Source organism: Homo sapiens, chromosome 6, assembly GCF_000001405.40.
Source record: "Homo sapiens chromosome 6, GRCh38.p14 Primary Assembly".
Taxonomy (NCBI): Eukaryota; Metazoa; Chordata; class Mammalia; order Primates; family Hominidae; genus Homo; species Homo sapiens.
In genome coordinates this window covers 71224244-71239877 of record NC_000006.12, presented here as the reverse complement: position 1 = coordinate 71239877, position 15634 = coordinate 71224244, and the positions used below count along the sequence as shown (strand labels likewise).

Below are 15634 nucleotides of genomic sequence, written 5' to 3'. Positions count from 1 at the left end.
TCAAAAGCCTCACCCCACTCCCAAGCAACCCACAGTCCTAACGGCTGGTCTCACTCCCACTGTGCTCCCCAACAACAGCATCGAGTCTATTTCCAGGCAGCTGGTGACCAGGGCCGAGAACTTGCCCTAGACCATGAGCCTCCCCATTGAGAAAGCAAGCAGACTCACAGTTTTTTGGCATCTCAGGGAGCTTGCAGGGGTGATCCAGTTCTTCAAAGGGTCTGTGGATTCTCTTGGCTTTCCTGGTATGTTTCTGTGGTAGTTCTTGGAGCAAAAGTTCACGATGTGAGTCTCCATACTGCTCCGTCCATCTGAGTGGGAGCTGCAAGCTAGTCTCGCTTCGTATTCATCATCTTAATCCCCCTGAGGAAAAATTTCTAAATTGGAATTGCTAAGTCAAAGGAGATGCACATTTTAGGTTTTGTAACAATTACCAAATTCCATTCTAAAGAGGGGACACAAATTTATATTCCCATTAATAACAAATGAAAAGAAAATGTCCATGCGTCAAACAACATGGTAACTGTTTTACTTACAATAATCTTTAGAGAAGTTATGATTATTATTCCTAATTTCAAACTGAGTTAACTGAGGCTCTGCTTAACTGAAGTAGGTTAAGCAACTTGACAAAAGTCACACAGAATTAACTGAATAAACTGGGAGCTGGGGTCAACAGTCTAACCTATTACCCCTTATGCTATACGGCCTCCCTGAATTTCAGTCCCAGCTCTCTCACTTAAAGCTGACAGCCTGGCCAAATTGTTTACCTCAGCTCTATAGTTTCTTTATATTTAAAAGAAGATAAAATGTATCTCAAAATATTAATATGAGGATAAAATGAGACAATGTCGAGAAAATTTCATGCAAGGGGGGTTAAACAAATGTAAATTTGCTTTTTTCCTATTGAGAAACATAAATCACAAAGAAGAATAATCTATTTCCCTGGCAAATTTTTTTCAGTAGTTAGAAATTAAAGAAGCAAATGTGACCCATTTTAATGTTAAAATAAAAGCAATAAAGCCAATAGGAGCTGTGATGGAACTCACCTCCCTGTCTTTCTCATACAAAGTCTTTAATGCTGATGGGTTTGCTCTTGGCCTAGCTCCTTCGCACAGTATTGTTTGCAACCAGAGTCATTCTGCTTGGCTGATTCCTTAATGCCCAACCTTATTCCCTTTCTCTAAAAATTCTGTTTCTCTAGAAATGTGGATGGAATAAGGATTGCTAAAGCTATGTGTTCTGGGAACACTGAACCACCTATTCCAAGACAGCCTTGAATGAACCTTCTCTTCAGTCTCCACAATCCAGGACTGCACAAGGAGGGTGACTCGTGCATTCTTTACTCCATATATGTCAGCTCCACAGTGTGCAGGATGTTCATGTACAACCTCACACTACTGGCCTGTCTCTTCCCATCTCTGAGTGGTCAGTATAGCTCAGTAATAGGTTCCAAATGGGAAGGGTGACATTTATTCATAGCTGAGCTCAGAAAATTTAGAACCACATAAAATGTCCAAATTTAAAACTCCCTGTTTTTACAATCGGGTTATAAAATAACAAACACCCTGACAATTATGCTAACTCTATCCTTCACTTTCACACTTGCCTGATCCATTACCCTATCTGTGAGTCCTGATGCTTTCCTCACCCTGGATACATCCATAGTATGCTCCCTGTCCCATTCCTTCTACAACAAGGGTGCTAACCAGAAATGGAGTGAGGCTCAGGTATTTATCCATTCATTTTTCTCCACAAATATTTTCTAAGGGCCATACACTATTCAAAGCACTGGAATGAATATGCCTGTCTTTCCTTCATTTTTACTTCCTTCTTTTCTTTTTCTTTCTTTCCCTTCCTTCCTTCCTTTCTTCTTTCTTTCCTTCCTTCCTTTTGTTTTCTTCCTTTCTCTCTCTCTCTTCAATTATTTTCCTTTCAGATTATGTAATTATTTTTACTTGGAAAATTTAATATTGTGTCTCTTTTAGCTGGGTAAAATATGTCTAATTTCAAAGTAGCCAAGTCATAATGTCCTATAGCACCAAAAAGTGTTTCAGCTCCTAGATTTCCAAATAATGTAATTTAGAAAATAGAAATAATTGCAGATTCATACACAAAAAAATTTATTTATTTTTTATTCTTTTTTTTTTGAGATGGAGTCTCTCTCTGTCACCCAGGCTGGAGTGCAGTGGCGTGTTCTCAGCTCACTGCAACCTCCGCCTCCCGGGTTCAAGCAATTCTCCTGCCTCAGCCTCCCGAGTAGCACACAAACAAATTTTAAATGATCCTATGGACAAAAGGTTCTGTTCTTTCCATTGGTACTACCACTATTGCACATTTATGAAAGTAATTTAGAGACATGTACAAGGAAAATCTGTCTCTAAAAGGCTTCCAAATTTAGTAAATTGGGATATTTTACAATCACCTGTTTTAGTTTATGATAAATACAATTTACTTGTTCATTTTATGCACTCTGGTCAAATTAGAGCAGTTAGTTCATGCTTTAATGTATTAACACAACACAGCAAAAAGCATATAAAAATATAAAAGAAAACACCCGAAACACATGTCTGAGTTCAAAGCCTATTAAGCATTCCTGTGCACCAGAAATAGAAAAGAAATGCAGAACTGAGCATAGCTGAGGCCACAGCCATGCTGGGCTCTTGTCCTGAAGTAGGCAGTGACAGCTGAGAACCAGGGAAGGAGAATTGAAGGTGTTCCATGGAAATTAGCATACTGGAGCCAGATTTGAAAACAGAGGCTAGATGAGGCTCCTTCTGGTAAAAGGAGGTTAAAAATCTGCAGCCAACCATTCCCTGGGGCCATGGCTTTGCAGAGAACTTCAGAAACAAGAGAACTAACACACATTGCACTTGAGGAAGGGTGCTAAATGCACCTGGCCTGGGGCCTGATATCATATGCCTGCTGAGACCAAGGGCAGGTGTTCTGCAATGTCATACAGCACTAGGTTTGGAGGTAGGGTTCAGGAATTTGGGAGAAGGAAATGCAAAACTGCTAGATAGAGAAATTTGAAGAAAGAGAAAGAAGGGGAGCAATTTCATTCAACATGATGCTGCAAAACAGAATTTCAAAGCGGGAGAATTCTAATGCTGTGAAAGTAATCCTGCCAAAAATCAACAATTGGAACATAATTTCATTCCAGGTGAAATTTTATTAAACTGATCTAGCCAAAACTTAAGAATAAATATGCTTTGAATGCTTAAGGGGAAAAATGGAAAAAACTATGCACTTTTTTTAAAAAAACATAAAATGTGAAAAGCAGACAGATATGAAACAAGCCAAATAAATTAAAAAGCAGAATGATTAGACATCTTGGGAGTTAAAAATCTATTCATTGCAATAAAAAATTCAAAGATAGGGTAAACTTTGGAACAGAGGCAACAAAAGAAAAACAATAAACTGAAAAATATTACTGAGGGATTTACCCAGAAGACAGCATAGAGAATAAAATATGGAAGAATGCTAAGCAGAGAGATCACACAGGGTAGTATGCTTGGGAGAGTTCCAATTTACATCTGTTGTCCTGATATAATTATTAGTGGCACTTCTTTTAACTCCCAAATGCATCTCCCCTGAGAATCAGGGAAGGAGAAGTGAAGGTGCTCCATGGAAGTTAGCAGACTGGAGCCAGGTTTGAAAACAGAGGCTAGGTGGGGCTCTGGTTATATAAACATAATTATATAAATATAATTTATTAGGCAATAGTTGTATGGTCACCTAAAACTATATAGGATAGTCTGAAGACAAATAGGACTGCCTATTTTTCTTTAAGGAAGGAAAAAGTCACAAGAAAGTAATATTTGGAGAGAAAAGAGCTGTGAGTTTTCCAAAATTGAAGAAAAATATGTCCTCAAATTGAAAATGAACTATAAAAACCAAGAAGGATCTACAAAAATATATTCATACCCAGACTTACCAAAGTAAAACTGGAATACATCAAGAATTTGGACATGTTTTTACCAGCTACAAGGAGAAAAACAGGTTACAACAAGAAATGGTAATTAAACAATAAATCAAGTGGGCTTCTCATTAGCAACCATAGATGCCATGAAACAATAGAGAAATAAATTCAATATAATGATGGGAAACTGGAAATTTAGAATATTATATCCAAATAACTTAGCAACACAAACAAGGTGCTGGAAAATAGATTCTCAATCTATAATATATTCCTGTTTAGGTTCTTGGGTTTCTGAGTAGGATAAAAATACTAGATAATTTCAGATATTTTTAAAATTATAGTTATAATTAATATATAATTCACAGCTTTGTATGTTAAAAGCTTAAAAATATTTTTATTGGAAATTAACAATTGAATATATCTATATATGGAAATGTAAAGGACCAAGACCAGAGAAGACAATTTTGAAGAAGGACAAAATCCCTCTAAGGGTTATCAAGATGTATTGCAAAGTGATGATATTTAAGACAGTTTTGCATTAGCATAAAAATAGACAAATAGAAATATGGAAAAGAATAGAAACATTTGTGACAATTTGTTTCATGATAAAGCATAATGCAAATGAAAAAAGAATGGTATTTTTAATAATGATTTTGGGTCAACTGGTTATCTATATGAGGAAAAAACACATTTTGACATCCTACCTCACATGACACACAAAAATCAATTCAGGGTTGGAGGTATATGCCTACCTGAAAAGTAACAATTAAACATCAAGAAGATAAGAGAGAATATCTTTATGACCTTAAGATGGGCAAATTTTTTTAAAGAAAAATAGTGATTAAAGGGACATAATTAAAATTAAGAACCTCTGTTCATCAAAAACCCCAGTAAAATAGTCATATGGTTTGGCTGTGTCCCCACCCAAATCTCATCTTTAATTGGAGATCCCATAATCTCCATGTATCATGGGAGGGACCCGGTAGGGAGTCATTGGATCATGGGGGTGGTTTCCTCCATGCTGTTCTTGTGATAGTGAGAGTTCTCGTGAGATCTGATGGTTTTATAAGTGTCTGGCATTTCCCCTGCTTGCACTCATTCTCTCTCCTGTCACCCTGTGAAGAGATGCCTTCTGCCATGATTGTAAGTTTCCTGAGTCCTCCCCAGCCATGCAGAACTGTGAATCAATTAAACCTCTTTTCTTTGTAAATTGCCCAGTCTCATGTATTTCTTCACAGCAGCATGAGAATAGACTAACACAAATAGTGGAAGAGAAGACCACCAACTGGAAAAGATACTTTCAATATTTTTACCTGACAAAAGATTATTATCCAAAACATATTAAATGTTTCTGTGAAGCCATATAAAAGACAGACAATCCATTAAAAAATTGGAATAAACTTGGATATTGAACAGGTAATACATGAAATACAATACATAAATGGGTGATAGCCATATAAAGTGCTCAAAATCATTAGTAATGAATGAATTAAAAATTGTGTGCATGCAGCTACACACTCATCAGAATAGGTAAAATCTAGAGAAACAGGTATTACCATATATTGAGGATATGCAGCAACTGGAGCTTTTATGCACTACACATGGGAATATAAATTGGTACAACCTCTTCAGAAAACTATTTGGCAGTAACTACTAAAACTAAACATAAGCATAGCCTACAACCCAGTAATGCCAGTATTTCACTCCTAGGTATATACCCAACAGAGTTGTAAATGAAATGTCAATGAAAGGCAGGTACAAAGAATGAAATGAAATTAGAGAATGTTTAAAACAGCATTATTTGTAATCCCCAAACACTAGAAACAATCCAAATGTCCAGCAAGAGTAGAATGGATAAATAAATTGTGGTGCATTCGTTCAATGGGATACTTCATAATAATAAAAGTAAATTAATCATCAATATAATCAATAACATAGATGAGTCTAATAACATAAGAATGAGCAATAGCAGCCAGATGCAGAGTTCATGTCATATCCCATTTATGAAAAGTTCAAAACAGACAAAGCTAATCTATGGTAAAGAAGACAGATATGGTTAACCTTAAGAAGAGAAGGGAGATACTGAGGGCGATTCAGGGTATTGGCAATGTTCTATGTCTTAATCTGAGTTATAGTCACACAGATGTATTTACTTTGTGAAAATATATTAAAATCAACATTTCTGCATATAAGTGTGCTCATCTGTATGTATTTGCTATACATGAAATAGAAAAATAAGGCATAATCTTAGGGTTACCAATATAGAAATAGAAATAATCTTGATATTTTTCAAACCTCCAGAGGAATCAAAAGAAGGAGGAAGAATAGAATGATTTGGAGGAAAAGAAGGAGAAAGTAGAGGAGTTGAAAAAAAGGAAGAAAAAGAAAAATGCAGAATCCTTTGTCAATCCAACAGAACACAGCAAAAAAGCAAAGAAAGTGAAAGGTAAGTAGATAGCACAAAAGGAAATGGTACAAATAAGCCCAAAAGTGTAATGTATCAGAGTCAATGTGGATAAAATTCACCTATTAAAAGGCAGAGATGGGATAATAATAACATAAATCCTGCTGTATCCTGGTTAATAAAAGGCACACCTAACACCAAACCAAAAGAAAATTTTGAACATAAAGTTTTGAAAAACTAAGAGGTTTTTATTAAACCTCTTTTATTAAACCTATTTTATTATTTATAGTAAGATGACGTGTTAGTCCATTCTCATGCTACTAATAAAGACATACCCAAGATTGGGTAATTTATAAAGAAAAGAAGTTTAATTGACTCATAGTTTTGCATAGCTGGGGAAGCCTCAGGAAACTTACAATTATGGTGGGAGGGGAAGCAAAAACATCCTTCTTCACATGGCGGCAGCAGAAGGAAGCGCCCAGCAAAGAGGGAAAACCCCTTATAAAACCATCAGATCTCTTGAGAACTCACTATCATGAGAACAGCAGCATGGGGGAAACCGCCCCATGATTCAATTACCTCCCACCAGGTCCCTCCCACAACAGGTGGGGATTATGGGAACTACAATCCAAGGTGAGATTTGGATGAGGACACAGCAAACCATCTCAGGTGCATTATAAAATAATACAGAACAATCCCCAAGCCAATAAAATAATCTTTAACTTGTATGCACTTAAACATAACATCGCACTAGGCAGAGAAAACTGATAGGATTACAAAAACTGACAAATCCAGAACTATAGTAGGATACGTTAAACACTTCAATAAGAAAAAAGGTCAAAAATAAAAAAGAAAAAGAAGAAAAAACAGGTCAAATAGAAAAAGCTAGAAGAATATAGAATATTTGAAATACTTGGTTGTACCTAGCCCTAGCTTAGCTCTCTCCCTACTCCTGCCTATCTTCCAAGACATACACACCTAAACCCTCAGGCTACTTAGAAGTGAGTATAAATCAATTACAAGCTCTCAAGCTACATCTTGTAGAGAAATACCCTCACATTCAGTTAATATGGGAAGGGACCTAAGGGGAATTCACTCAATCTATACCAGAACAAAAAACAGAGTTCAGATGCAGAGCTCACTGAAAATATGAACAAGATGAAAAAAGGATGACATGAGAACTAGGTAAGCAGAACAAAAAATAAGAATGAAAGGAACTCTATAGCAACAAAGAACACAGAGAAATATTCATGCTATAGAAAATCTTATTAAGTACATGAAATGAATAAAATACAAGCTCAAATGTAAGATGATAACAATACAGAATGATGTAAAAATGGAAATTGACAATATAAGGAAACAAATTGAAACTAAAATAACACCATTACAGAACTTATAAACAAATTACATGCAGAAAGAAATTTAATGGACATGGCTGAAAAATAAATTGCTCTACAAAGAAAAGGCTTGAGATAAGCACAGTAAAATCAACGGAAAAAGATGAACAGATTAGTAGAAATAGAGAGAAGATAATAGCTAGAGAGAAGTGACAAATATGCCATTATATAAAGATAATAGGTATCTCTGAATTGAAAAACCAGTAAATGACTCAGAAAAAGTATTCCAATAGAAAATAGAAAAATAATCCTGTAATGCAAGAATAAGACACTCTGCAACTCAAAAGTGCATATCATATTCCAAGACAAACATATTCAACCCTATTTTTCCTAAGTCATATTCTGTTGTTACTGAATTTAAGAATAAGAAAAAATTATTTAGCCATCCAGAGACAAATAATAAGCCTCTTATATTTGGGAGCAAAGCAGACTGGACTCAATCTTCTCTGGAGTAACATTCTGGGTTACAGGATGATAAAGCAATGTCTACCAAGTTCTAAAGGAAAAGAAATGTGATCCAAAAATATTGTATTCCACTAAGATTCCACTCAAGTATAAATACCACAAATAGATATTCTTAAATGTGAGAGAATATAGTCATGCATTGCTTAATGACAGGGATACATTCTGAGAAATGCATCCTTAGATTGATCTCTTTACTGTGGGAATAGTGTACTTACACAAACCTGATGGTATAACCTAATACACACCTAGGCCATATCATATAGCCTAGCTCCTAAGCTACAAACCTGTACAGCATGCTAATGAACCAAATACTGTAGGCAATTGTAACATAATGGTAAATATTTGCATATCTAAACCTATCGAAACTTAGAAAGGGGATAGTAAAAATGCAGTATAAAAGGTTTTTTTTTGTTTGTCTGTTTGTTTGTTTTTTAATGGTACTCTTGTATAGGACACTTAGTATGAATGGAGCTTGCAGGACTGAGGGTTGCTCCAGGTGAGCCAATGAGTGAGTGGTGAGTCAATGTGAAGGCCTAGGATATTACTGCACACTACCATAGACTTCATAAACACCGTAGAATTAGGCTCCAGTAAATTTATTTAAAACTTTTTTCTTCAGTAATAAATTAATCTTAGTTTACTGTAACTTTTTTACTTTATAAACTAATAATATTTTTTACTTTGTAAACTTTTAAGTTGTTGACTCTTTTTTTTTTTTTTTTTTTGAGTCGGAGTCTTGCTCTGTCGCCCAGGCTGGAGTGCAGTGGCGCCATCTCGGCTCACTGCAAGCTCCGCCTCCCAGGTTCACGCCATTCTCCTGCCTCAGTCCCCTGAGTAGCTGGGACTACAGGCTCCCGCCACCAGGCCCGGCTAATTTTTTTTTTTTAGTAGAGACGGGGTTTCACCGTGTTAGCCAGGATGGTCTCTATCTCCTGACCTTGTGATCCACCCGCCTTGGCCTCCCAAAGTGTTGGGATTACAGGCGTGAGCCACCGAGCCCAGCCTGTTGAGTCTTTTGAAATAACATCTAGCTTAAAACACAAATGCATTGTACAAAAATATTAGTACAAAATAGAACAAATAGTATAGTTAGTATAATATAGTACAGTAGCACAAAAACATTTCTTTCTTTATATCTTCATGCTATAAGCTTTTTAAATTTTTTAAGTGTTTTTGTTAAAAGCGAAGGCATACACATACCCATTAGCCTAGGCCTACACAGGGTCAGGATCATCAGTTTCACCGTCTTCTATCTTCACATTTTGTCCCACTGGAAGATCTTCAGGGGCAACAAAATGCATGGAGCTATATCAGGTGCAGTGGCTCATACCTGTAATCTCAGCACTTTGGGAAGCTGAGGGGGAAGGATCACTTGGTATCAGGGGCTGGAGACCAGCCCGGGCAACATAGTGAGACCTCGTCTCTGCTAAAAATTAAAAAAAAAAAAAAACCCACAAAAGAGTTAGCTGGGCATAGTGGCGTCCACCTGTAGTCCCAGCTACTTAGGGGGCTAAAGTGGGAGGATCGCTTGAGCCTGGAAAGTCAAGGCTGTGGCGAGACCTCATCCTGCCTCTGCACACCTGGGTGACAGAGCAAGACCTTGTCTCAAATCAAAACAAAAACACATGGAGGTGTTGTTTCCTGTGATAACAGTGTCTTCTTCTTGAACATCTCCTGAAAACTTACCTGAGGTTCTTCTTGAGCAGGTGTCACTCTTTTCAGAAATATGTCTATAGTTGTTTGTTTGGTTTGTTTCCTTTTTCAGCATAGATTTGCTTGTAAGTAGATAATGCATCATGAGCATCTTCTCTATTGATGAAAATCTTTCGGTGTTGGGATCTGTTTATAACTGCATCATCACAAACATGTGAGTAATGCGTTGCACCACATTATGATGGCCATGAACTCACTAGGCCATAGGAATTTTCAGCTTCATTATAATCTTAAAGCACCACTGTCATATATGCAGTCCACTGTTGACTGATTGTTACGTGGCACATGGCTGTGCAAAGATGATAGCACACATTAGCTTTCTTGAGGCTCCAGGAACTGTCCAGCACAGTAAGTGAAATTTTTTAAAAAATCCTAAACATAATATTGAGAGATTTGCAAATATCAAGGTTAAAGAGAATATTCTGAAAGCTTCAGAGAGAAAAGACAGCAACACTGAAGTCATGCAAGGAGCATCAACTTCAAAAGTCTGGTGAAACTGACTTTGAACTTAAACATCTTTACCCAGCCAAATCATTCATCAAGTATGATGATAGAATAAAAGTATTTTCCAATCTCTAAAGACTCATAAAATGTATCTCCCCTGCATCCTTTATTATGAGGTTACTTATGGGTCAGAAAGAAACATTGAAAAAAGTAATTTAAAATGGGAAAGGCATGGGATGTAGGAAACAGCAAGTCTAACCTGGGACAAGAAGAAAGGGAAGATCCAAGCTGACTGCTGTGCAGCAAAATCAGTCCTAAAGTAGGGTCCGAAAATAAGTGTACATTTAAAAAAAGGTGTATGCTGGGGCAGAGTGGTATTTCATAAACTTGATAGTATCCTTAAAACAGCTATCATAAACCTAAAGATTGGCTAAAGAAAAAAAAAAGGCAAGTAGAAATTTGAGGGAAAGGAGCACTGTACGCAAAAACTATATGTTATGTAATCACTGCTTGGCTCAGCAATGAACCACATTCACATAGTTGTGATAATGTAAGCAATGCCTGCTGATTTTTCAACTTCTAACGTCTAAACAAAGTGAAAACACAGACAATCTAACTGTGGTTATATGATAAAAGGTAATTTTTTTGAGGCTTACCAATACAAAAGTGAAAACAAATCTTGCAAAGGTAAGGAAGAGAAAGGGGGGAGGGATTAAGGGCCTTCTTCACCTTACAAGGTATGGGGTCACGATAGGTTGTGTCTAACTAACAGAACAAGAAATCAGGAGAAAACGTATAGTCTTGCAGGTATGAAAGTAACCACAAGAGGAATTAAAAGTAGTAAAACTTGCTGTGGGAAGAGGAAGAGAGGGGAGTCAAGTGAAGTATAAGTGAGCTAAAACCTCATTTACCATGGCAGGAAGTTGGTAGATAATGTTTAAAGTAGATAATCCAAACCCTCATGACTAATCAACTTAGAATTTTAAAAATGTAAAATAAAAGTTATCAAGGGTTTAAGATGACATACTCAGGAAGGGATGGGATGTGGTAACCGATGGTTGCTTTTTATAGCAAGCCCTTTAATGCTGTTTATTCTTTATAAAATTTTCCTTATTTTGACAAAATTGTATATAACTATATATGCATGTATACACACACACATACACACACATTTCAAAGGAGTGGCTATTAGTAAAATGTAATAATATTAAATAGTATCTTTTCTTATAAAACAATGTCTGCCATCTATCCACCTATCTAAGAAATGCATAAATAGTTTTTTACAACAATATTTAGCTCATATTTCCAAGTGGTAGGGTTTCAGGAGAATTTTGACATTGTTATTCTTACTTTTCTGTATTCCCTGAATAATTATTGTCTTTATATCACTTTTCTAATAATAGCATCTTTATTGTATACTCTCAATGCTGGGAGGGCAGGAGATATAAATAAACAAAAGTGGAAGCAGGGAGGAGGCCATGAAACTATTACAAAAGCCCATGTGAGAAAACATAGTGGTGTGGACTAAGAAGCTTACATTTGAAATGAAGAGAAACAGGCAGGTTCATGACATAATTTGGAGGGAGAAACAACAGTACTCTAGGCTTGAATGTTGATGGTAGGAACAAGAGGAATCAAGACCATAGTTGCTCACCTGAGCTATCATGAGCATGGAGGCCATAGACAGAGAGAGAATTGAATGTTTTATTTCCAAGTTGAAAGTAGTTACAGACAGGATTGAGAATTTGGCTTTATATAGCCTAAATTTGAATATTTGAGAAACATACAAGTAATAGTCATGTAGTCATTTGCATATATGCAGTTATTTGCATATGCAGTCACGCTGAACATATATATTTGACATTTGTCAGCAAATAGAAAGGATATAAAGCTGTGAGAATGTATGAGAGCACCTAGAAGTGAGGACTGAGAAAAGGCAGAAGAGAACCTTGGACCAAGCACAGATGGCCTCCAACACTGATAGATCTGAGACAGAGAGGGAATCCTGGAAACGAAGTAAGAAGAGAGAGCAGGGATAATTTAGTAGGTAAAAATTCAGCAGGGTGTGGCTTCAGGGAAGCTGAGGGAGGAGGCTATTTCCAGGAGAAGGGAGCATTGAAGTCCTTGAAGTAAGAGGGAAGGGGCTACAACCCCAAGCAGAATGATTAGCTCTTTATTGGATAAGGGACACTTTATACATCATAACAAAAGGGAAGAAGAAAAAAAGGGAAAGGGTTGCAGGTGTAGATATCTTTTGTAGCCTCAGTGGTGAGAAGATGGAGTCTGATGGCTTCCATTTTCTAGATGTAGCAGGAGATAAGATCATCTGCTGAGACTGAGGAGAGAAAAAAGGCAAAAAATTACGGCTGATGGAGAGATGACAGCATTAGGTGGAAGCCTCAAGTAATCTTAGGGCCATTAATACTCATTACCTAGTTACTTTAGTTATGGAATCAGTAATCTTAATCATATTTTCATTTTCAATAGCCTAGGTTTTGTTTAATCCATTTCCTGAATAAAGGAATGCTAGTATTCAACAAACATACATAGAATCATAGAATGTTCGAATGTAAAGAAATCTTAGATATTGTATGTCCCAGTCTTCACTATACAAATGATAAAACTAAGGCTTAATTTAAGGAATTTTTCTAAAATTAAAGAACTAGTTGGTGACAGGTAGAAATGAAACATAAGCTTTTAGATTCTCAATCTATTGGTATGAAAGCTCAGACACACAGTTACACAGACACACAGACACGCCCCTCTGCACAGAAAATCAAAAAGGTTACTAGACTCAACTAATGTCAACTAAAAAATTAGTCCTTGTCAGTTTCTTTGGGCAATAATACAAATATATATTGCAATATTGCATACAGTGAGCTTCTGAAGATGTGTAAAAATTTTAAATCACAGTAACTAACTGCTAAAGAAGAAATCTGTATTGAATATGTTTTGAAAGGCATCTTTTCACAGTCTATATTATCAAATAATTCATCTCATTTTATGTTGGTAGTTATTATTTCTTAGAGACATAGTTTATCACCTTCCATTATTCCAATAGCTTCCTAAGTTTCTCCACAAAAAAATCCCAAGAGGTAGGGAAAATTATTCCCTGCTTGTATTTTGTCATTTGATTAATATTTTCAGAATTGCATCCAAATGATTCTACTTGTTTTTCACACTCCAACAGGCAGCCACCTGCCACCACCTTCAAAAAGGAAATATCCTATCATATCTTCTACTCTACATAAATAACTTCTTCCCTAGGAGAAGGGAAAATGCAGAGTGGTATTTACCCTTATTTTTTTTTTTTTCAAATATTCTGGTTGGATTTTGTAATGTTACGCTAATATCTTTTTGCCTTTGTGGATATTTATATATACTTCCCATTTTCCTTTCAGGTCATAATTCATCCCTTTCACCTAATATTCAGTATTTGCTGGAATATTAAACTTATTACATTTGAAAATGTTATTTGAAATATTTTTCTGTACAGTTATGAGGCATCCCAGTGATCATATAATTAAAAATTTCACAATATTCCATTAGGCTATATACCGACTACCACTGCACCCCAAAAAAGCTTGCTAATTTCATTCATTCCTACGTATCCATGTGGGCAAACTCAAATGAAGATGCACCAACAGAAGAGTAAAATATATTGCTTCCTCTTACTCCTACACAGATGTTCATGGCATGGATGAATGGAGAGGGCCACAAAGCATGGTCCCTGTATTTTTTGGCTCCTCCGCAAATACTAAAGACTTGGACAAGGACAGCTCTCCTATTGTAATCATGGCCAGAAATGGGTTTACTCTGAAACTAATGAAGAAGATTAATTCCTAGTAAAGTGTTCACATGTTCATACGCTTTTGTAAAATTTGCTAAAGTAAGATATTCTTATTGCAATTGGGTAATGCTATTGTCATCTTCTACCACGACTTCTCCTGCATCATACTCCTCCTCTGGCAGAAGGTCCCAGAGCAGCCATGGAGAAGTGCTGGGTCCAGCATAATATACTTACATGGTTCACAGCCAACTCCATGTATAGTTAGATTGGTTGCCACTGCATAGTTTGCTTCCAGAAAAACTTCTACCATCTCCTATGACTGTTCATCTTGCATATTACACAAAGGTGCCTACAATTCCTACTTTCAGAACATGTAAGCAGTGAAAGATAAATGAGGAATGAGGCTTGAAATACCTGGAAACATAATTTCATCTTCCAATAATCAGATATCTAAAATTGTGAGAGTTAGGCTTTTACTGATTCTCAATCAAAACAAAAGTTCTCTCCCACCAAAACATGTACTCAATAATGGCCTAAAATCTCATAATTTGTATATGAAAGAAACATTAGAGATTTTTCCAAATTTGGCAACAATGCTTAAAATTTCAGGACATTACCCAAAACAAGTTATAAAGGCAGAAAGTTTCTAAGTAATTGCATTCTATAAAGTTCAATCAGACATGCTTGAGGAAAGACTAAATTACCTCACTACTGTCTTTATTACAAATATTATAAAAATTGATGTCTCATGAAAAGTTGATTGATAGATTACAGCCAAAAAATGAAAAGATGTATTAGGGAGTTAAGTAATTTTATATATATATATATACACACACACACACACACACATACATATATAATGTGTATTACATATTATATATGTGTATATATACAAATATACATATATATGTATGTAGATATACATGTGTACTATATATACACATTATAATATAAACATTATATATAAATATATATAATTTTTCAGGATTCTTCTATTTGTGGTATTTGTTAGCTTTTAAAAGTTATACTTAGATGTGATTTCTTTCGCATTCTAAATAAACATTTATATTTGTACCTGACTTTCTTTTTATAACTTTTGAATTATTTTTCTTGAAGTTGGTTATGAAAACAAACAAATAAATAAATAAATGTCAGACTCCCAAAAATCTGAGTCCCCTTGGTGACCATACAGCTCTGCTAGCCTGGACAGACATTCTAATTTGGAGGTAGGCAAAATACTGGACAAAATTAAATGGGAGAATTGAAGACTTTCTTCTCATCACCCACCATGCTTTGGGACTGTATGTTATTCACGACAATGGAAGCTCTTAGCTTTAACAGAGTAAAAATAATTGCTCTAAGATAATGATGCTTTGCATTTTGTCTAATTTCTCATAAGGGAGGTAATAAAAATTGATTCTCAGAAGATCAACATAGGAAAAAGTTTTGAAGTGTAGGTCTGTGTCCTGGTAGTTTTCGTGGCCAGGCTGGTGGTCACTAAT

The 15634-nt window shown here is 35.8% G+C and overlaps 1 long non-coding RNA gene across 2 annotated transcripts; it reads left to right on the top strand.

The window, feature by feature from the left end:
* The first annotated feature begins 5105 nt into the window (after nt 1-5105).
* LOC124901338 (uncharacterized) lies at nt 5106-15298 on the top strand. Of its 2 annotated transcripts, XR_007059632.1 has the most exons (3): nt 5106-5335; nt 6221-6365; nt 14028-15298. It is a non-coding gene; the product is annotated as an uncharacterized LOC124901338 (long non-coding RNA). The 2 variants fall into 2 exon arrangements; XR_007059631.1 differs by lacking the exon at nt 14028-15298 and having other exon boundaries at nt 6221-6685.
* Nucleotides 15299-15634: the final 336 nt, after the last annotated feature.